Source organism: Homo sapiens, chromosome 2 (assembly GCF_000001405.40).
Source record: "Homo sapiens chromosome 2, GRCh38.p14 Primary Assembly".
Classification (NCBI taxonomy): domain Eukaryota; kingdom Metazoa; phylum Chordata; class Mammalia; order Primates; family Hominidae; genus Homo; species Homo sapiens.
Window position 1 is genome coordinate 150,661,871 of NC_000002.12, and position 23,172 is coordinate 150,685,042.

General features: G+C 37.3%; 1 annotated feature.

Moving 5' to 3' along the window:
• Positions 1,015-2,214: an enhancer, noted in NCBI's record as "P300/CBP strongly-dependent group 1 enhancer chr2:151519399-151520598 (GRCh37/hg19 assembly coordinates)". NCBI's record gives its function as "activates an origin of replication core promoter dependent on BRD2, BRD4, P300/CBP, MED14 and CDK7 cofactors, with strong dependence on P300/CBP, by STARR-seq in HCT116 cells {active_cell/tissue: HCT116}" and the evidence as "EXISTENCE:reporter gene assay evidence [ECO:0000049][PMID:35650434]".

Sequence of the window (23,172 nt, forward strand, 5' to 3'; positions counted from 1 at the left end):
TCAGGCGAAATTCACCTCCGATATTTCTTGTAGGTTCTTTTCTATTTTCCCTAAGTGTCAGCCAGTCTGAGAAATAAAGGGACAGAGTACAAAACAGAGAAATTTTAAAGCTGGGTGTCCAGGGGAGACATCACATGTTGGCAGGTTCCGTGATGCCCCCCAAGCCGCAAAACCAGCAAGTTTTTATTAGTGATTTTCAAAAGGGGATGGAGTGTACGAATAGGGTGTGGGTCACAGAGATCACATGATTCTTCACAAGGTAATAAGATATCAAAAGGCAAATGGAGGCAGGGCGAGATCACAAGACCACAGGACCGGGGTGAAGTTAAAATTGCTAATGAAGTTTCGGGCACGCATTGCCATTGATAACATCTTATCAGGAGACAGGGATTGAGAGCAGACAACTGGTCTGACCAAAATTTATTAGGCAGGAATTTCCTCATCCTAATAAGCCTGGGAGTGCTACAGGAGACCCGGGCTTATTTCATCCCTCTGCTATGACCGTAAAAGACAGCCATCCCCAAAGCAGCCATTTCAGAGGCCTCCCCTCAGGGATGCATTCTTTCTCAGGGATGTTCCTTGCTGAGAAAAAGAATTCAGCAATATTTCTCCCATTTGATTTTTAAAGAAGAGAAATATGGCTCTGTTCTGCCCAGCTCACCAGCAGTCAGAGTTTAAGGTTATCTCTCGTTCCCTGAACATTGCTGTTATCCTGTTCTTTTTTCCAGGTGCCCAGATTTCATATTGTTCAAACACACATGCTCTACAAACAATTTGTGCAGTTAATGCGATCATCACAGGGTCCTAAGGCGACATACATCCTCCTTAGCTTACGAAGATGATGGGATTAAGAGATTAAAGTAAAGTCAGGCATAGGAAATCACAAGGGTATTGATTGGGGAAGTGATAAGTGTCCATGAAATCTTCACAATTTATGTTCAGAGACTGCAGTAAAGACAGGTGTAAGGAATTATAAAAGTATTAATTTGAGGAACTAATAAATGTCCATGAAATCTTCACAATTTATGTTCTTCTGCCATGGCTTCAGCCGGTCCCTCCGTTTGGGGTCCCTGACTTCCCACAACAGCCACTAATGCTCAAAGACACGTGAAACAATTCCTTGGGATCTTGTCTCTTTTTCTCAATGAGCTGCTACTCTATTTTTAGCTCTACCTGGCCTCCAGGTCTTGGTCTTTCAACCTGTGCTCGATCTGGTCACTGGGCATTCAGGAGTGGTGTTTGTGTTGTATCTTTTAGAAATCTACTTTAAATTTTGCTCATAACTTTGACTGTGGCTTGCCCAATGGCTCTCCAGTCCTGTGTTAGCTCCAGTAAAATTCTCAGCAGTGGTTTCTCAGAACTCAGCCAAAACAGTGCCAACATTACTGGCCCCCCAAAATGGAAAGCAGTTGTGTGGAGGGGGAAAATTTTGACTTTGCAAGCAGGAAGTGACTCACAAAGAACAGCTTTCTTTAATCACTCTGTAGGTATCGGGTTAAAATGACTTATTTCCTTGGTATTCCCTCTGGATTAGACTTTCTGGGCTTTTCCTCATTATGGGAGTGGTAAAAAGCTGGAGAACATGGACCTGAGAGGAAGTTCCAAGGGGGTAAAGAGTTCTAAGGTTGTACCAGTTCTGCTGGAGCCTAAGCCTTCAGCCAGATGCTCCAAAGAAAACCCTGTGGCCTAGTCCAGACCACCAAAGGCCAAGGCCCAGTAGTTATAATAAAAGTATTCACTGTATTGATAAATATTCACTCTCAGAAATTGTTTCATGAATCTGCAGTAGTGGTAGTTCTCATGAAGAATTTGAGAGTTTTGAATCCCAGACAATGCAATTTTCAGATACTGATGTTATTTTAAAGTTTGAAGTTTCAATCATTTGATCAATGGATACTTTGTTCAGAAAATCATCTCATTTCCTAAGATTATAAAATCTTATGATTAGAAATTATCTTAAAGGTGTGCTATTGAATGCAGATCCAACCTCTGTTGGCTGCTGCTGCTGCTGCTACTACAACCTAACATTATAAGTGTAGGCTGCCTTATTTAACCTTTCTCTTCAAGATTTCCATATATACACTCCTTGACCTGGTGTGCCAATGCATAGGTGTTCAGTTACACCCCTTGACCTGGTGTGCCAATGCATAGGTGTTCAGTTAGCATTGCATAGGCATGTTATATATCCAAAAAGGAAGACCCAACATAAATTACAAATCTATAAATCCAATTACGACCCAGAGTGGGTATAACAATTTTACATTTAAGATTTTCTACTCATTTTCTGAGTTTCTACAGTCATGCTCCTGCGGAAAATATTCTTTTGTCAGTGCCTTGAAGAAATAACCTAGGATCTGAGTTTATTCACAACCTTCTAATATTTTGCCAGGGGAACAGCCTTCTGGTAATTTGATGAGAGTGTTGTCCATAATTTATTCCATCCTATTCTATTATGTGCTTAGGTTCAAATAACTTTATTGATATCCCTCTTGGTTGAATCTAAGGTACAGTCATAAAATCTAGGTGCCTGGAAAAAATTGAGTAGAAGTAGAAACTATAATCTAGCAATACAACACATTCTGACTGTTGCATACAATTACAACTAATATCAATTGGCCCAATATGCACACAACCATTCCAGAAAGACTCAAGTGTGAAAAGGACAGGTGGCAATCTAATTAGAATATGCGAACAAATTGGCTGGATATTGAATTGTACCTCTTAATGAACAGGGGAAATACAGAAGGAAGTTTAGCTAAATGTTAACATAAGATGAAAATGCTTCAGAGGATTGCAATCAGCCAATGTTCTCACTCAGTCCAATGCCAAATTGGAAGTAAACAGTCAATAACCTTTTTAGTTTCTTTAGGGAATGTTTTCATCAATAGGATTTTTTGGCTAAAACATAGTTTCTAACTTTTTTCTTAAGGCTAGTCTCATTGCTAACTTTATAAAAATAACTTTGTCAAAACCAAACCATACTTCAAAAGAATTCTGCCATATTACCATTAAATGAGGCTATATTTAAATAGCAGTGGTACCAGAACTGTCTATTCATAAAAGGTGCATTTCTACACACCTTTCCTTTACATAAAATCAAATACAAAAGGCCATGGATAAATTTTCTGCCAACTCAGTTGGAGCTAGAACCATTTTATTTTTCCAAATTGCAGTAGTGGCAAGACTGAAAGTCCCTGCCATAAAAGACAAATCATATGGAAACTGAAGACAGAATATTTGGGGCAAACTGGGGGGTTTAACAAGGCTTTTGTGACTGCAGTTAAATTCCTGTGAAGGCCTGGTTTTAATCCCAAATACCAAGTGGACCCCTTCATTTATTTGTCCTAAATTTAATTCAAACAAACATATCCCAAACTAATCCATTATTCCTCCCCCACCTTATTTTGTACAACTCTGATCTTTTGTCTGGTTTCCCCTGGCTCAGTTACAAAGGACTTACAAACTCAAATATATATAAGAATTTAGCATACAAAAGTGGTACTTCCTGTCAGTAAGAAAATATGGGTTATTTAACAAATGGTGAAGAAAAGTAAGATCAGAAAGTAATAAACCATTTGGAGGAAAAAACCCCAAAAATTGGATATTTGCCCCATTTCATAAATTACTTCAAAGACTAAAAAGAATTAAAAAGAAAACATGGGTAATTTTTAAAAATTAACATAGAATGGGAAAAGCCTTTATAAGAGAGACAACTCAAACTATATTTAATTTTTCATGATTAATAGAATGACAACTGGAAAAATTACATCCAGCATATTTAAAATATCAAATAATTATTTTAAATCTAATAATTGCTTAGCATATAAAGAATGTTGACATACAATCCATTAGGAAAAACATAGGCAAACAGCAAGAACAAAGGGTACACACACACTCATACACTGCTATAAATAAATTTTAAACATATAAAAACATACTCAGCTGGGCATGGTGGCTCACACCTGTAATCCCAGCACTTTGAGAGGCCAAGGTGGGTGGATCACCCGAGGTCAGGAGCTCAAGACCAGCCTGGCTAACATGGTGAAACCCTGTCTCTACTAAAAATACAAAAAACTTAGCTGGATGCAGTGGTGTGTGCCTGTAGTCCCAGCCACTTGGGAGGCTGAAGCTAGAGAATCACCTGAACCTGGGAGGTGGAGGTTGCAATGAGCTGAGATCGCACCACTGCACTCCAGCCTAGGCGATGGAGAAAGACTCTGTCTCAAAAAAAAAAAAAAAAAAAAAAAAAAAAAAAGACAAAACAAAAAACATACTCAAACTTCTTTAAAATTACATAAATACAAATTAAAAATGTAAGAAGAGAGTGCTTTTACCTAATAGTCTGCTAATTCAGTCTGATTATAGAGCTTTTGGAAATCAGGGCCACCATATTTCACATGCCACGGAACTCCAGGGGCACCATTCATATAGGATTGCATGTTGTCCAGTATGGGAACCATGAGGAAAACAGGCCCTCTCAAACACTCACTGTTAATGAGATTATCAAAAAACATACATTAATGTTTTAAATACTCTGAACTTAGAACTAGCATTTCACCTTTAGGGAATTGTCTTATAGTCACTGAGTACTGCCTTGCAGGGTATGCACTGTCAGAGAGTCCCATTCCCATAGTCCATGGTATAAATGCCATCTCCCTAGGAATTGGGTAAATGACTGACTTAGCTTCTCACAAATGTGTGCAAAGACATATGTGCAAAGATGTTAATTGCTTCAAATTTAGAATAGGCGAAAAACAGGAGAAAAAATATGTAATCCAGTAGGAAATTTGCTTAAATCATTCATAGTACATACAGAGAATAGCAGAAGATGCAGCCATTAAAAGAATGAAGCAATAGTTCTCAATAGGTGCTAATTTGGAGAGATCTCTAAGCTATATTTTTAAGGAAAAAGCAAAGTTCAGAGCAGTGCAAATTATGCTCTTATTTGTATTTTTTGGAGTATGTGTGTGTGCATGTTAAAGATAGCTAAACTTTTAAAAAGCAGATAACTTTTTCAGAAAAATGGCACAAAGGAATTTATTAATGATGAATGCCATTAAAAAGCTGAGTCAGAAACGGGACTGCTTAGTTGTCAATGTATACATTTTTTACGTTCTCTGAAAATATTATTCAGTTCATGTAGAATAGTTCAACAAAATAAACATTATTTTAAAAATTTAATTTTCAATATTCAAATTAAAAACAACTATGACAGATTAGTAACATTTAAAGATTCTGAGGAAAAAAAATAGCACAGAAAAGGGGAAGTCCCCTGCCACCTCCACTAGAACAAATGCTGGTAACCACAGGTGGGAGACCCATAGATGGTTCACAACACAGGACTCTGTGCAGACAACTTCCAGTACCAGCCTGGAGCCTGGTAGACTTGCTGGGTGGCTAGACCCAGAAGAGAGATAACAATCACTGCAGCTCAGCTTTCAGGAAGCCACATCCCCTAGAAGGGATTGGGGCCCTATCTTCAGCCTCCTCAAACAAAACAATTAGCAGCCAAGAATTTTGTATCCAGTGAAACTAAGCATCATATATGAAGGAAAGATAATCTTTTTCAGACAAACAACTGCTGAGAGAATTCATCACTACCAATCCACCACTACAAGAACTGCTAAAAGGAGCTCTAAATCTTGAAACAAATTCTGGAAACACATCAAAACAGAACCTCTTTAAGGCATAAATCACACAGGACCTATAAAACAAAAATACAATTAAAAAAGCAAAAACAAAAATATACAGGCAACAAATAGCACAATGAATGGAATGGTACCTCACATCTCAATAGTAACATTGAATGTAAATGGCCTAAATGCTATACTTAAAAGATACAGAACTGCAGAATGGATAAGAACTCAGCAACCAACTCTCTGCTGCCTTCAGGAGACTCACGTAACCCCTAAGGACCCACATAAACTTAAAGTAAGGGGCAAAAAAAGGCATTTCATGCAAACGGACCCCAAAAGTAAGCAGGGGTAGCTATTCTTATATCAGACAGAACAAACTTTAAAGCAACAGCAGTTAAAAGAGACAAAGAGGGACAGTATATAATGGTAAAAGGCCTTGTCCAACAGGAAAATATCACAATCCTAAACGTATATGCACCTAACACTGGAGGTCCCGAATTTATAAAACAATTACTAATAGACCTAAGAAATGAGATAACAGCAACACAATAATAGTGAGGGACTTCAACCCTCTAGTGACAGTACTAGACAAGTCATCAAGACAGAAAGTCAAAAAAGAAACAATAGATTTAAACCACAGTAGAATGAAACTAGAAATCAACTCTAAAAGGAACCTTCAAAACTCTCATACATGGAAATTAAATAACCTGCTCCTGGATGAGCACTGGGTCAGAAATGAAATCAAGATGGAAATTAAAAATTTATTTGAACTGAATGACAATAATGACACAATTTATCTAAACTTCTGGGATACAGCAAAAGTGGTGCTAACAGGAAAGTTCATAGCCCTAAACACCTACGTCAAAAAGTCCAAAAGAGCACAAACTGACATTCGAAGGTCACAACTCAAGGAACTAGAGAAACAAGAACAAACCAAACTCAAACCCAGCAGAAGAAAGGAAATAACCAAGATTAGAGCAGAACTAAATGAAATTGAAACAAATAAATACAAAAGATAAATGAAATAAAAAGCTGGTTCTTTGAAAAGATAAATAAAATTGATAGACCATTAGCAAGATTAACCAAGAAAGGAAGGGAAGAAAATCCAAATAACATCATTAAGAAATGACATTGGAGATATTACAACTGACACCACTGAAATACAAAAGATCATTCTCAAGGCTACTATGAGTACCTTTACACACATAAACTAGAAAACCTAGAAAAGATGGATAAGTTCCTGGAAAAATACAATGCTCCTAGCTTAAATCAGGAAGAATTAGATACCCTGAACCGACCGATAACAAGCAGCAAGATTGAAATGTTAATTTAAAAATACCAACAAAAGAACATTCAAGACCAGATGGATCCACAGCAGAATTCTATCAGACATTCAAAGAATTTGGTACCAATCCTGCTTACACTATTCCACAAAATAGAGAAAGAGCAAACCCTCCCTAATTCATTCTATGAAACCAGTATCACCCTGATACCAAAACCAGGAAAGGACATAACCAAAAAAGAAAACTACATACCAATATCCCTGATGAACATAGATGATAAAATCCTTAATGAAATACTAGCTAATTGAATCCAACAACATATCAAAAAGATAATCCATCATGATCAAGTGGTTTTCATACCAGGGATGCAGGGGTGGTTTACCATATGCAAGTCAATAAATGTGATACACTGAATAAACAGAATTAAAAACAAAAATCACATGATCATCTGAATAGATACAGGAAAAACATCTGACAAAATCCAGCATCCCTCTATGATTAAAAGTCGGCAAAATCGGCATACAAGGGATATACCTCAATGTAATACAACCCTGGGAGGAACAAGACAAGGATGCCCACTCTCACCACTCCTCTTCAACATAGTACTGGAAGTCCTAGCCGGAGCAATCAGACAAGAGAAAGAAATAAAGGGCATCCAAATTGGTAAAGAGGAAGTCAAACTGGCACTGTTTGCTGACGATATGATCATTTACCTTGAAAACCCTAAAGCCTCCCCCAGAAAGCTCCTAGAACTGATAAAAGAGTTCAGCAAAGTTTTCAGATACAAGATTAATCTACACAAATTGGTAGCTCTTCTATACACCAACAGCGACCAAGCAGAGAACAAAATCAAGAACTCAACCCCTTTTACAATAACTGCAAATAAATAAATAAATAAATAAATAAATAAATAAATAAATAAACCAAACTTAGCACTATACCTAAGCAAGAAGGTGAAAGATCTCTACAAAGAAAAGTACAAAACACTGCTGAAAGAATTCGTAGATGACACAAACAAACGGAAACCCATGCTCATGGATAGGTAGAATCAATATTGTGAAAATGACCCTACTGCCAAAAGCAATCTATGAATTCAACACAATCCCTATCAAAATGCCACCATCATTCTTCACAGAATTAGAAAAACAATTCTAAAATTCATATGGAACTAAAAAAGAGCCCACATAGCCAAAGCAAGACTAAGTGAAAGGAACAAATCTGGAGGCATCACACTACCCAATTTCAAACTAAACTATAAGGCCATAGTTGCCCAAACCGCATGGTACTGGTATAAAAATAAGCACATAGATCAGGGGAACAGAATAGGGAACACAGAAATAAATTCAAACAATTACAGCCAACTGATCTTAGACAAAGCAAACAAAAAGATAAAGTGGGGAAAGGACACCCTTTTCAACAAGTGATGCTGGGATAATTGGCTAGCCACATGTAGGAGAATGAAACTGGATCCTCATCTCTCACCTTATACAAAAATCAACTCAAGATGGATTAAGGACTTAAATCTAATACCTGAAACTATAAAAATTCTAGAATATAACATTGGGAAAACCCTTCTAGACATTGGGTTAGGCAAGGATTTCATGATCAAAAACCCAAAAGCAAATGCAATAAAAACAAAGATAAATAGCTGGGACTTAATTAAACTAAACAGCTTTTGCATGACAAGAGGAACAGTCAGCAGAGTAAACAGACAACCCACAAAATGGGAGAAAATCTTCACAATCTATAAATCTGAAAACAATGAATATGCAGAATTTACAATGAACTCAAACAAATCAGTAAGAAAAAAACAAATAATCCCATCAAAAAGTGGGCTAAGGACATGAATAGACAATTCTCAAAAGAAGATATACAAATGGCCAACAAACATATGAAAAATGTTCAACATCACTAATGATCGGGGAAATCCAAATCAAAACCACAATGTGATACCACCTTACTCCTGCAAAAATGGCCATAATCAAAAAAATAAAAAGCAGTAGATATTGGGGTGGATATGGTGATCAGGTAACACTTCTACACTGCTGGTAGGAATGTAAACTAGTACAGCCACTATGGAAAACAGTGCATAGATCCCTTAAAGAACTAAAAGTAGAACTACCATTTAATCCAGCAATCCTACTACTGGGTATCTACCCAGAGGAAAATAAGCCATTATGTGAAAAAGATACTTGCACACATATGTTTATAGCAGCACAATTCACAATTGCAAAATCTTGGAACCAACCCAAATGCCCATCAATCAACAAGTGGATAAATAAACTGTGATATATATGATATGCATGTCATATATATCTCACACACATATATATACCACATATATCACACATATATATCATATATATATATATATATATATATGATGGAATACTGCTCAGCCATAAAAAGGAACTAATTAGTGGCATTTGCAGCAACCTGGGTGAGATTGGAGACTATTATTCTAAGTGAAGTAACTCAGGAATGGAAAACCAAACATCATATGTGTTCACTGACATGGGGGAGCTAAGCTATGAGGACGCAAAGGCATAAGAATGATACAATAGACTTTGGGGATTTGAAGGGCAGGATCGGGGGGTGGTGACTACAAACATGCTGCAGTGGGTGCACCAAAATCTCACAAATCACCACTAAAGAACTTACTCATCTAACCAAATACCACCTGTACCCCAATAACTTATGGAAAAAAGTATTATTGATATGCGAGGCTTTGTTCCTGTCATATTGTTAATTTTTTTCTGGTTGTTTTAAATATTATTTGTTTTTTTATTTTCGTCTTGTAGTTTGTCATTGTGGTTTGGTAGATTTCTGTAGTGGTACCATTTGAGTCTGTTCCCCTTTTCCTTTGTGTGATTGTGTTAGTAGTGATTTTTATACTTTTGCGTGTTTCATTATGGTAAATGTAGTTCTTTCTCTTCCAAGTTTAAGATTCCTCTGAGCATTTCCTGTGAGACTGGTATAGTGGTAACAAATTCCCTCAGCATTTGTTTGTTATTTCTGAAGGATAATTTTACTGGATATAATATTATTGAGTGTCAGTATTTTTTTTCAGCACTTTAAATATATCATTCACTCCCTTCTGGCCTGTAAGATTATAATTTTAATCTTCATTGTTCTCCAGTAACCTCAGTGTGCATTAACATCCATTTCAGACAACTGCAAAAGATAACAGAACCAATGAGTTTGCTATTTTAAACTCAGGTTACTATTGTCTTTTTAGTTTAGGCAAAAGTATCACACATATAGCAGTGAAAGTTGCATAGATTATTAAATTTCTGAAATAAATATTTGAATAAATTTTTAGCAAATTCGTTAGCAACTGCTGAGAATCTATTCAACAGCAACATGAGGGAATATCCTCCTTTTTGATCTTCCTTCTTTTTGTTTTATATGAAAGAGCTTTCAAAAGAAGTGAAGCTTCTGATTTCCTTCAAAGATAAATGGGTGGCTGGCTACACATATTTCATTAAGTCCAACTCAAAATGGAGAAATTACCGAAAAAGGATTTATATCTAAAATATATCAAGAACTCCTATAAATCAATAAGGAAATGGTAAAAACCTCAACTTTTTAATTGTGCAAAAGACTTAAATAGGCTCATCACAAAAAAAAAGTATCCAAATTACCAATATTCGTGCGAAAGAGTACTTGACATTTTTACTCAGCAGGGAAATGGTGACTAAAACCACAATGAGATTACTATTCATCCACTAAAATGGCTAAAAATTTATAAACTGACAATAACAAACATTTCTTAGTAGGAATGTGAATGGCAAAATCATTTTTGAAAAATGTTTGGCATTATCTACTAAATGTAAACACTGTCTCTCCTACAACTCTGTACTTTTACTTCTACTTATACACCAAGATAATGAGTACATATAACCACCAAAAACATGTACAAGAAAGTTCATAATATATTTATTAATAAGATTTCTAAACTTGAAACAACCCAATTAGTCCTTATCTGGAGAATGGTTAAAAAATTTGTAGTATACTTATTAAATGGAATACTATACAACACTAATAAACAGAAAAACATGACTATGCAAAAACATGAATAATCTTACAAATAAGTTAAGAAAAACAGTTACAAAAATACATTCTGAATAATAATATTTATACAAATTTTAAAACAGGCAAAAGTAATTGTTAATGGCAGAAGTAGGAAAATTTACCTCTGGGAAAATAGAGTATTGAGTGGTATGAAGCAATCTTATAAGGTGCTTCAAGTAATCTATTATTTTAATTTGAGTGATGTTTACTTGAATGTATACACATGTAAGAAATCATTGAGAAATACATTTAAGATTAGTACACCGTATGCATTTTACTTCATGTATATTATTACTCAATTAATAAAATAAAATTTAAAAATTAAATCTGAACTGAAATCACGTTTTGTTCATTGCCTAGGAAATATTTTCCTAAAACTGAGTGACGAGTGCTTGGAAATACTGAACTGGACATTTGCAAACTGCTAAGATAGTCTCATGTTCACTTCACTCATTGAATAATCAAAGAACCAGCAGTTATTCTCTCAGATTCCTCTGAATATATTGGAGGACAAAAAAATCCACCAGAAACGAAGTCCCAGAGTATAATTAAAGAATAATAATCCACTACAATTATTTTAACACCAAAATTTTCCATATTCAGAGATACATTGCATGAAGTGCCTAGAATAATAACTATTCGGTAATAGAAATTAAAATGTTTACCACTGATAGAGCACTCTCTATGTGTCAGTCACTATGTTAAATGTTTTGCATACTTATTTGCTTTCTATAAACCCTGTGAGCTAGGGATTCTCAGCCTCATTTTATAGAATAAAAAACTAAGGCTCATAGCTACGTTAAAATCTGCCTATCGTGGCTGAGCACAGTGGCTCATGCCTATAATCCCAGCATTTTGGGAGGCTGAGGTAGGATGATTGCTTGAGCCCAGGAGTTCAGAACCAGCCTGGGCAGCATAGTGAGACCAGTCTCTTAAAAAAAAAAAATTAAAAATTAGCCTAGTATGGTGGCACACACCTATAGTTTCAGCTACTTGAGAACCTGAGGTGAGAAGATGACTTGAGCCTGAGTGACAGAGTAAGGCCCTTTCTCTAAAAACTAAATTAAATCAATCAATCAATCAATCTGCCTACTATGCCAGCCAGTTAGTGGTAGAAAGAGGACATTAACCCTGATTTTCTCAACACCAATTACCTCCTCTTGAATACTGCCTTTAAACCTGCCTCTGACTTATTTTGGGTTCTGTTTAGAATTTAACAACAGAAGGAGAGTAGAAACTTTCTGAATCTACTTTGTTAAAAAGAAAAATACCACAGTTGCTGGACAGTAAGAGAATCACTCATTTAATGGAAATTTTGAAAACACTCCATATTTTTATCCACGTTTAATTGTCGCTTTCTCAGGGAAGCTTTATTTGATACCAAATCTAAGCCCAACTCATGTTATGATTTCTATTTTATACTCTGATTGTATCCTGTATTTTTGTGTAGTATTTTCAGTAAGAATTAAATTTAAAAATACGGTTGATTTAATGTCAGTCTTTCTGATAGGAAACTTCTTTTTCTTGTTCTCATAGTATTTCCACACTCCAGTAAAATTCCTGGATCACTATAGCTCCTTGGTTTATATTTTTGAATTAATGACTCACTTAAAATGCCATCAGCTGCAAGAAAGAAAAAAATCTGAAGGAAATTGATTAAACCCATATGAGAATGAGTAATTTGATAGAATAAGAAACCCAGGTTGAGTACCTCTAATTCAAATATCGGAAATCCAGGATGCTCTAAAATCAGAAACTTTTTGAGCCCTGGCAAGACGCCACAGGAGGAAAATTCTACACTTCACCTCATTTGATTGGTCACAATCAAGATGTAGTCAAAACTTTTTTTTGTACACAAAATTCTTTAAAATATTTTATAAAATTACCTTCAGGCTAATGTATATAAGGTGTATATGAAACATAAATTTAGTATTTAGGCTTGGGCCCTGTCCTCAAGATATCTCAACATGTATATGCAGATATTCCAAAATCTGAAAAAAAAATTGAAATCTGAAACACTTCTGGTCCCAAGCATTTCAAATAAAGGATAATGAGTCTGTATAAGGCCCCTTCAGACACTGTGTGTTGGGACTTCCACCTCCCTTCCTACGGTTATCTTGTTCTTTCTTCCATTGTTGGTTTTTAGCTTCAGGCTTGTAGTAATGTAGTTATAGTTATTTCAGAGATGACAATGTCCAGAGGCAGAAAAGTGCTATCTCTTCAACGTTTATCTCTTAGGATTAAGAAATATTTCCCCAAAGCTCTTAGTGGTTTTTTTCTCATGTCTCATTGGCTAGAACTGGAACATGTGCCCACATATAAATAAATCTGTGGTAGAAGTAATAGACCTATCATTGACTTTGGTAAGTTGGATTTTGATCAATCATTTTTAAACACTGATTTAATTTTAAATAAATGATTTTGAGAAATCATTTTTGGCTTTGATAGATCAGATTTTGCTCCTGATAGAAAAATGGCCACCAATTCTGGTAAAGGAGGAGTAGTGGTATGAATGGGTCAGGGGAACTTGATATGTGTTGTCCATTCATGCCCTGCATGACTGGTGGGAGTTTTTAGAATTTTAACTTAAGTGGAGCAGAGCTAAAGTAAAGTTGGAAAAGCCCTAGGGGAGAGTTCTGTGGATCTAGATCACAAATAAAAAATTTAACAGAAGGTTTTAGGGGTTTACGAAACAGTATTTCATTTTATATGGAGTTCAAATAAACTAAGGTTTGATGATTCTAAACTCTCTTTTAGAAAAACTTCAGAGACCACAGTGTAGCAATTATTGTCACAAGTAATTAGCAAAAAACAATGGGAAAGCCCACTGATCCACTCTTGAGAATTATTTTAAGTGTGGTTAGTGAGGAAGTGCCCTACAGAAAGGGCTTTAGATAATTGAGTTAAAAATCCACTCTGTGATCTATTTCCTCTAGTAAACTAGACCCTTATTCTAGAGTGGGATAAATAAGTGGGCCCCACAACTGTTGTGTGCTGATCATGGAGGGAAGCTATTGTTGTGGCATATGGAGATGATATGGGCTGAATCATGCCCCCAACCCCTGCCAAGATTCATATCTTGAAATCCCAACCCCCAGTATCTCAGAATGTGACTGTATTTAGAGATAAGGTCTTTAAAATTACTTAAATTAAGATGCGGTCATTTGAGTGAGCCCTAATCTAATCTGACTGATATCCTTATATGAAGAGGAAATTAAGCTACAGATAAACTCAGAGGAAAGACCATGAGAAGCCACAGGGATATGACTATCTGTAAGCCAAGGAGAGAGGCCTTCAGGCTTCAACCCCGCCAACACCTTGATCTTAGGTCTGTAGCCTCCAGAATTGTGACAAAATACATTTCTGTTTTTAAGCCACCCAATTGGTGGCATTTTGCTATGGCAGCCAGAACAAACTAATACAAATCTGCAGGATTCAATGGCAATTTCAAGGGGGAGAAATGTTGCACTTCTTAAATGACACTACTCAAAACTTCTAGATTGTGGTAACCCATCAATGAGAGACAATGTAATGTAGTGTGATAGACTACTGAAGGCTCCATGGACCACGGACAATTAATGTTTGGGCATAATTGGGCTAGTTAGGTGGAAAGTACTGGCTCTTCAGACTATATTACGTGAGAGGCCATAGGTTACATGAACTTTATTCCCTAAATTCACTTGAGGCAGCCACAGGGGAGGAAAGTCAATTACTGGATAGGGAGGTAGGGATAATAAAAAGTCTTTTAACTATAATGTCTCTACCAAATCATTCATTCATTTATCAAAAAGATATTAATTATAACTACTATATGCTGGGTGCCATGTGGGATATGGAGACTATAATAGTAAAAAAATGAGTATGTTTTTTTTTCAGGATATACACTCTAGTAGAAATACAGACAAGTAAGTAGATAATGTAACAATGTTATATGTACTTCATGGGGCACTTATCTCAGTACTTTTTTTTTTTTTTTTTTTTTTTTTGTAGAGAAGAGAATGTAGCTAACTGACCGTAATGGCTTAGGTTCCAAGTTGGTGTTTTGATTTGGGTTTGGCAGCTTCTGTAAGGGCTGCAATGGTTGAAATCTTGCCTCTTTTCCTGCCAGTGCTTCCTTAAAGATAAGACAGGACTTAATGACAAGATCGGGTATTACCATGGGTTAGAAGTAATACCCAGTCCTCACGGTTCCACAGAGAGTCAGGGAAAGGTGTGTCATTAGGTAGCAGAAGGAATTCTGGGCATTTGGCATTCAGCAGTCAGCAGGATACAAACTAGGTGACAGGTGAATGCCCCATTGGCTGGTCAGGGGCTGCCACTAGGGCAGTCTGACTACAGGTATTAGGCATAAGCAAGCATTTAGCTTCAAAGTGCAATATTAGAGACTTTGTTTGAGAATACCAATTACAGGGGTTGAAGGCAAAGTTCAAAAGAAATGGGAGAGAAATGGTATTGGCAAGTGACTTAACACAGTGACTTAGGGTTGACAGTCAGGAGGTTTGAAAGTAAATTAGTACAAGTGTTTGCATATGTTGATTGATATCCCAGTCTCCTATGGAGATTGTCAGCGTACTTGTACCTGGACCTCATCCCCAGAGATTTTCATTCAGCTATTTTATGGCTAAACCTGGACATTTATTTCCTTAAATAACTCAGCATGGGATTATGATGTGCACCAAAGATTTTAAATTGCCGGATTACAATAACAGAGGGCAAAAAGCAAGCAGGCATGTGCATGTGTGTAGATGTGTGTGTGTGTTGGGGGAGGAAGAAGATGAGCAGCAGGAAGATCTTTGTTGGGTAGAATAACCTCAATAGAGGCTTCTCTGCTGAAGAGGGGAATACGTTTTGTGTGATCAAGGGAAACTAGAGAGGATGTCAAACTGTGCTAAATATCTGCATGTAGAAAAGTTGGCTGCAGGGTTTCTTAGGGAAGTCAAAGGAAATACTAATTGTATCTCCATAGCAACAGGCTGCCCAGTTCTGCCTCTGCCTCTCCGCTTTCTTACACTTGTCCTGAACATTCAAGTCTTATATATCCCCTGTATAAACAGGCATAAGCCTCATCGTAAAATAATAACTATGCTTTCCTTTCTATTATCTAGTATTGAAATCTATGTAGAGTGCCTTTTAGGTTTAAAATCCAAATCTGTTCTCTAAACAAGAGCTAACTGATCAGGCACATTAAATCTACCTCTGGCCTGTAATCCCAGCACTTTGGGAGGCCAATGCAGGCAGATTGCTTGAACCCAGGAGTTCAAGATCAGCCTGGTCAGTGTGATGAAACCCCATCTCTACAAAAAAAAAAATTAGCTGGGCATAATGGTATGCACCTGTAGTCCCAGCTATTTGGGAGGCTGAGGTAGGAGGATTGCTTGAGCCTGGGAGGTGGAGGCTGCAGTGAGCCCAGATCACACCACTGCACTCCAGCCTGGGCAACAGAGCCAGACCCTGTCTCAAAAAAAATTAAAAAATTTAAAAAGTAAACAAATCTACCTCTGGTGGCATATTCTTACAAAAATCCCCTTGCCCCTGAGTGTTAATGATGTTATAGGGTGCAGTAGGCTATAAATATCCTCCCCAACCCATGCAAAAACAAAAAAGATATGTTTACTTTGTAATCCCTAGAACCTGTGAATATTTCCTTACTGGCTAAAGTATTAAAGTATACTTTATATTAAAGTATAAAATATTACCTTATACGAATAAAGATGTGATTACATTAAGGATCTTGAGAGGACAATCTCATTCTGGGTTATACCCAGGTGGGCCCTAAATGGCATCGCAAAAGTCCTTATGGGAGAGAGGCAAAGGCAAATCAGATAGACACACAAAAGAAGGGGAGGTGCTATGGCCACAGAGGCGGAGATTGGAGTGATGTAGCTTCAAGCCAAAGAATGCCAACAGCTACCAAAAGCTGGAAGAAACAAAGAATGGATTCTCCTCTCGAGCCTCATAGGGAATGTGGTCCTGGTAATACCTTGATCTTGCACTTCTAACCTCCAGAACTGTGAGATACTCAATTCCTGTAGTCATAAGCCACCCAGTTGGAGGTAAACTAATACAGATCTTGGTACCAGGAAGTGGGGTGCTGTGGTAACAATACCTAAACATTTTAAAGCGGCTTTAGAATTGGACAATGGGTAAAGTCTGGAAGAATTATGAGGTGCTTGACAGAAAAATTCTAAATTGCTTTGAGCAGATTGTTAAAGGAAATATAGAACTAAAAGACACTGCTAATGAGTGCTCAGAGGGAAGAAGCAGCACAGTAGAGAAAGCTTCTATTTTCTAAGCAAATATATATATTTTCATGAACAGAATATTGATAGAAATATGAATGTTAAAGGTACGGTTGGCAAGAACTCAAAAGGAAATGAGGAACATGTTATTGGAAATAGAAGAAGAGGTGGCTCTTGTTACATAGTGGCAGAAAATTTCACCAAACTGCATCCTACAGTTATATGAAAAGCAGAACCTGTAAGTGATAAACTTGGACATTTAGCTGAGGAGATATCCATGCAAAGTATTGCAGGTGTGCCCTGGGTTTTTCTTGCTGCATATAGTAAAATGAGAGAGGAAAGAGATAAATTGAGGAAAGAACAGTTAAGCAAAAATGAATCAGATATTGACATGAGAAATTATCAGCCTTTACAGGTTGAAAACAATGCCAAAATTAGAAGATTCACTTTTAGGAAAGCACGCTCTGGAGAGAAAGCCAAGGGTGTAGTTGGACACCTTTTAACTAAAGAGATTAGGCGTGTGACTCATGGATCCACTCAGTCGTCTCAGTGGAAGCCAAGAATCAAGATGAGATTATCCGGGGACGATTTGTGGAGAGTGTTGTTGTCTCATGTTGTGTATTCCTGTGAAATTCACGGAAGACCCACAGGTTTTCAAGAATATTATATTAGCAGAAACATTGTTAGTTCGATTGAGAAAGACAAAGACAACATGAAGAAATACTGTTGGACTCCAAAATACTACATGCAAAAAACATGCTGATAAAACTAATTAGCTAAAAATATGTGCTACCCTCCAAGAAAAAGAATGACTCTGAGAGTAGACATTAATGCAGAGGCATACACAGTTGTGAGTCACAGAGGATTCTCATGCCTTGAAACCTGATGGAATTTGTCCTGCTCAATTTTCAACTTACCTGGAACCCGTTACCATTTTATTCTTTCCATTTTCTCCTTTCTGAAATGAAAATGTCTATAACTGTCTCTCCCACCATTACATTTTGAAAGAAGATAACTTATTTTCTAATTTCCTAGGCAGACAGAAAGAATTTTGCCCCAGAATAAATCATATCCAGACCCTCACCCATACCTGATTTAGATGATGATTGCCTTAGTCCATTCAGACTGCTGTAACAAATTACCAAAAAACTGGATGGCTTAAAAGCAACAGGAATTTTTTTTCTTACAGTTCTAGAAGCTAGAAGGTTTAAGACTGAGGTGGCAGCAGATTTGGAGTCTGGTGAGGGCTTAGTTTCTGATTCACAGGTGGTGCCTTCTTGCTGCATCCTCACATGATGGAAGGAGGCAAAGCAGTTTTCTGGGGCCTCTTTTATAATCCCTTTCAGGAGGACAGGGCCCTCCTAACCTAATCACCTCCCAAAGGCCTCACCTTCTAATACCATCACCTTGGTGATTAGAATTTAACATATGAATTTAGGGAAGACACAAACATTCAGACCATAGCAATGATATTTGGGACTTTTGAACTGATGATATTTAGATGAGATTTTTGGACTTGAATAGATGCTTAAATCTATTGAGAATTTTTACAATGTTGGAATTAGGTGGATATATTTCACATGTGGGACAGATGTGAATCTTTTGGGCCAAAGGTCACAGATGCGGTAAGCTTAAAAAATGGCAAAAGGGCATTATATTTTATGGCAAAAGATGTGACAAAGTTAAGAATCTTGAGAGGAGGAGCTTATCCTGGATTATTCAAGTGAATCCTCAATGCTACCACAAGTGTCCCCATGAGAGAGGCAGAGGGAGACCAGATACAGACACTCAGAAGAAGAGGAGGTGATATGATTACAGAGGCTGAGATTGGAGTGATGTAGCTATAAGTCAGGACATGCCAACAGCTACCAGAAGCTGGAAGAGGCAAAGAATGGCTTCTCCCCTAGAGCATCAGCAGAAAATGCTTCCCTGCCTACACCTTGATTTTGGCCTTCAGAACCATGAAAGAATAAATCCCTGTAGTTTTAAACCACCCAGTATGGTAATTTCTTACAGCAGCCCAAGGAAACTTGTACACCAGGTAAGTAATAAAGAAATTAATTAATTTTTTATTGGAATGTGGAAAACACATATATAAGAAGAAGAGACTCATGCTCTCAACACATTTCCTCCCTCTAGCAAACTTCCTTTAGTTACAGGACCATCAGGTTTGCATGCCCACTGCACAGTAACATACCAACACACTGAGACAGCAGGACTTGCAGCAAAGAAAGCATTTAATGATCACAGGGTAGCTGAACAAGGAGATGAGAGGGACCCTCAGATGCATCTCCCTTAGGAGTTTTTAAGAGGATCATGGAGGGCAAAGGGCTGGAAAACTGGGATCATTTATCAGTCAGGGTAAGGGGATGAACTCGTCAGGATGTGGAAACCGTATTATTCAGTGAGTCAGTATGTCATGGGGTCCTTCAGACCAGCTGACATCAGTGATTTCATCAGTAGGCAGGGCCTGAAAGAATCTCTCAAATGGAAAATTTAATGTTTCACAATGCTTAAGATGTTATCTACAGAGCAGTTAAGGGGAACTATAATCCTAGGACAGGGTCTAATGTGATTCTGAGGTAATAGGCAGCAAATGACTATGAGGAAGTGGGTCAGAGAGCAGCTGACCTAATGATTAATGCTAAGTGTGCTGTAAGCTTGGTTTATTTTTTTCTCCCCCTCTCTTCTTCCCTGATTAATTTTATAAACTTTATAGGGATGGTTTCACTTTCCTGATATTCTGGTAAGTGGAAACTGATGAGTACATTACCACTGGGTATTGGTCATAGGAAGAAAAACAATTGCCTACAAACTACTATAATATACTCCTGAATATCATATTTTTATTTTCTGTTCCCAGGCAATGATATCAAGGGAGAATCTGCAGACATACCTTTATTAAGTTAAAATTTAATACCATGCTCCTGGATTTTAGAAAGAACAAAAGTGGGATACAGCCATACCTGAACTATTTCCAAGATTTCTAGCTATTTCTCCTTGATAAAGGCATTTTCCCTTTATGAGTATCTACTTCCTCATATTAAAATGAGGATGGTGGACTAGTCTCATGGGGTGGCTGGAAGATGTATGTTAGGACAAAGGTGTCACACAACAGGCAGTAAAAAATTATCATTGCCCCATCATCAACTGGAGGAGCTCATAGCTCATCTGCTTTTTCTTTGACTTCCAGGAGGCTCAGAGATAAATGTAATCTTTATCATAGTGGCTCATCAGGCTGAGTGATTAGCATATGGTGGTTTCTTTTTAATTCATATATTTAATTTATGTTAATTTTATCAACATTATTGTATATTTTTCTCATTATAAACTGCTTTCTGGAGACAGGTTAGATAGGCATAGTTAATAAGTGGTCAACTATGTTTGTTTATATTGTCTACGAAGATAATTGTCTTATATGGCCTATCCTGTGTTTGTTTTGGTGGAAAGTGATGGGGGCTCAAAAAAGTTAGCAGGCAGAAGTGTCTGGCTCCTTTAAACAACCAGTTTGTCTTGCGTCCAGGAAAATTATTTCCACCTTGGGAAAGAACATCCTTTAAAATGAACCTACTTAGAAAGGAAGCAAGGCCAAGCCCTCTCTATAAAGAAAAAACTTTGCCAAGGAACTACAGAGCTCCTTGAGGGCATGCAACACCCAGAATAAGTAACAGAAATGTGTGAGAGGCCTAAGTCAAGTCTGCATGCTACATATCAGCTAGCTGAGTAGAAATTGACATTAAAACTTCAGAAATTGCATGGAAGAGCCAGATGGGAGAACAGTACGCTATATATTCAAAATAGGATTTAAAGTAGTTTATCAAATGTGTTTACAATACCCCCAAACCAATGCTTATTTAAACTGGCCATATGTTGTAGTTTGTGCATATAAATTCAAATTAACTTAAAGAAACTGTGTTACGTCTCTCAAGTACGCACATTTGAGGTAAGCCTGCAGATTTGGTAAGAGCACCATGCTAAGCAATCAATGTGGACCACAACATTGATTGCAACAGGTAATACGGCCGCATAATTTTTAAATACAATTTTCTAAGAAGTACAATTTTTAGATATCAGTACTTAATAGGCAAAATGATCCAAGCACAATTATTTTTATAGTTTTATCACCTGACCATCACTGAGGAGATGGCTTCAATGCATCAGTGACTTGTTTTTTTTTTTTTCGTGACAGAGACAGAACTCTGGTACCTCTTCCTCTTATAAGAATACCAATCCTATTGGATTAGGGCCTCACCTTTATGCATTATTTAGCCTTAATTACCTTTTTAAATATGCTGTATCTTCAAAAATAGTCACTCTGGGGGTTACGGCTTCCACATATGAATTTAGAGGGAACAAAATTTGGCCTGTTTGGGAACACAATTTGGACTCGTCCAAGGGGAGAGTCTAGTGCTTGGAGAAACTAAAGTCCTGAAAGGTGTTGCCCTGCAGTGTCGATCCTATTGGTGGCTGACACCCACATGCAAGTGACATTACATCAAGCTTCTATTGCTTGAAGATCTCTTCAGCCTCTGAAGTCAACCATCATCCCTTCCAGTAGGTAGTACACTCACTGGCATTTTTGCATTGTTGTCATTGTTGTTTTTGAGATAGAGTCTCACTCTGTTGCCCAGGCTGGAGTGCAGTGGTGCAATCTCAGCTCACTGCAACTGCCACCTCCCAGGTTCAAGTGATTCTCCTGCCTCAGCCTCCCAGGTAGCTGGGATTATAGACATGCATACCATACCCAGCTAATTCTTGTATTTTTAGTAGAGATGGTGTTGCACCATGTTGGCCAGGCTGGTCTCAATCTCCTGACCTCATGTGATCCACCTGCCTCAGCATCCCAAAGTGCTGGGATTACAGGCACGAGCCATTGTGTCTGGCCATTTTGGCATGAGTGTTTATCTATGCTCTGGGAAGAAATATTTGCAGGTAAAAACTGGTTGCCACTAAACTCTTAAGTCGAGCTTGTCCAACCTGCAGCCCATGGGCCACATGCAGCCCAGGAAGGCTTTGAACATGGCCCAACACAAATTTGTAAACCTTCTTAAAACATTATGAGATTTTTTGGCAATTTTATTTCAGCTCATGAGTTATCATTAGTGTTAGTGTATATTATGTGTGTCCCAAGACAATTCTTCTTCCGATATGGCTCAGGAAAGCCAAAAGATTGGACACTCCTGCTCTAAATCTTGTGTCTTGTTCACTGTTGTATCCCCAGCCTCACCTAGTGGCGGGCATATTGTCAGTCCTCGTCAAGGATTTATGAAGTGAATGATCTTATACAGCAGCACCAGTTCCTTCACTCTTACACTTCTCAGACTGGGGCAGGCAGCACTCTGAAGGGTTGCCAAATTTACTAGGGGTTTTAAGACATGAGTTAAATGTACACATCTCAGGGAAGCACAAATTTTACTTGATTACAAGTCATTTAAAATGTGATGTAATATTAAGCTAAACTTTGGTCTGTTGCAAAAAAGAAAGCAAAGTTCTCATAAATGTCAAGGCCAAGGTGATTTCTTTGTGTACCATTCTCCCTCAGCTTCCCCAAGGATCTAGGTCAACTCTGTGTTCTCACTCTTGCGCTGGGTACTTAGAGATACCAAAGAGAAAACACTGAAGATATTTACATTTATCCACAGATCCATAATAAAAATGTGTATTCCAAGTTCAAGGATGATAACTATCACAAGATTATATAGAGATTCTTTTTACTGCTTTCTTTTAATTCTCTATGAGAATTAGACGATGTACGGAAACCATATAAATGCAGCTTTACAGAGACAATGAAGTACAAAATTCAAAGGCTTCTACTTCATAAAAAGAGATTAGGTAAAGTGCTGCTTAATGTTTCATAAAATTAGTCACAGATGGTAGGACCTCCTAAGGCCTCCTGGGTCACGTCTACTGAACCTGTACTGATGTTTTTAAAAAATATAC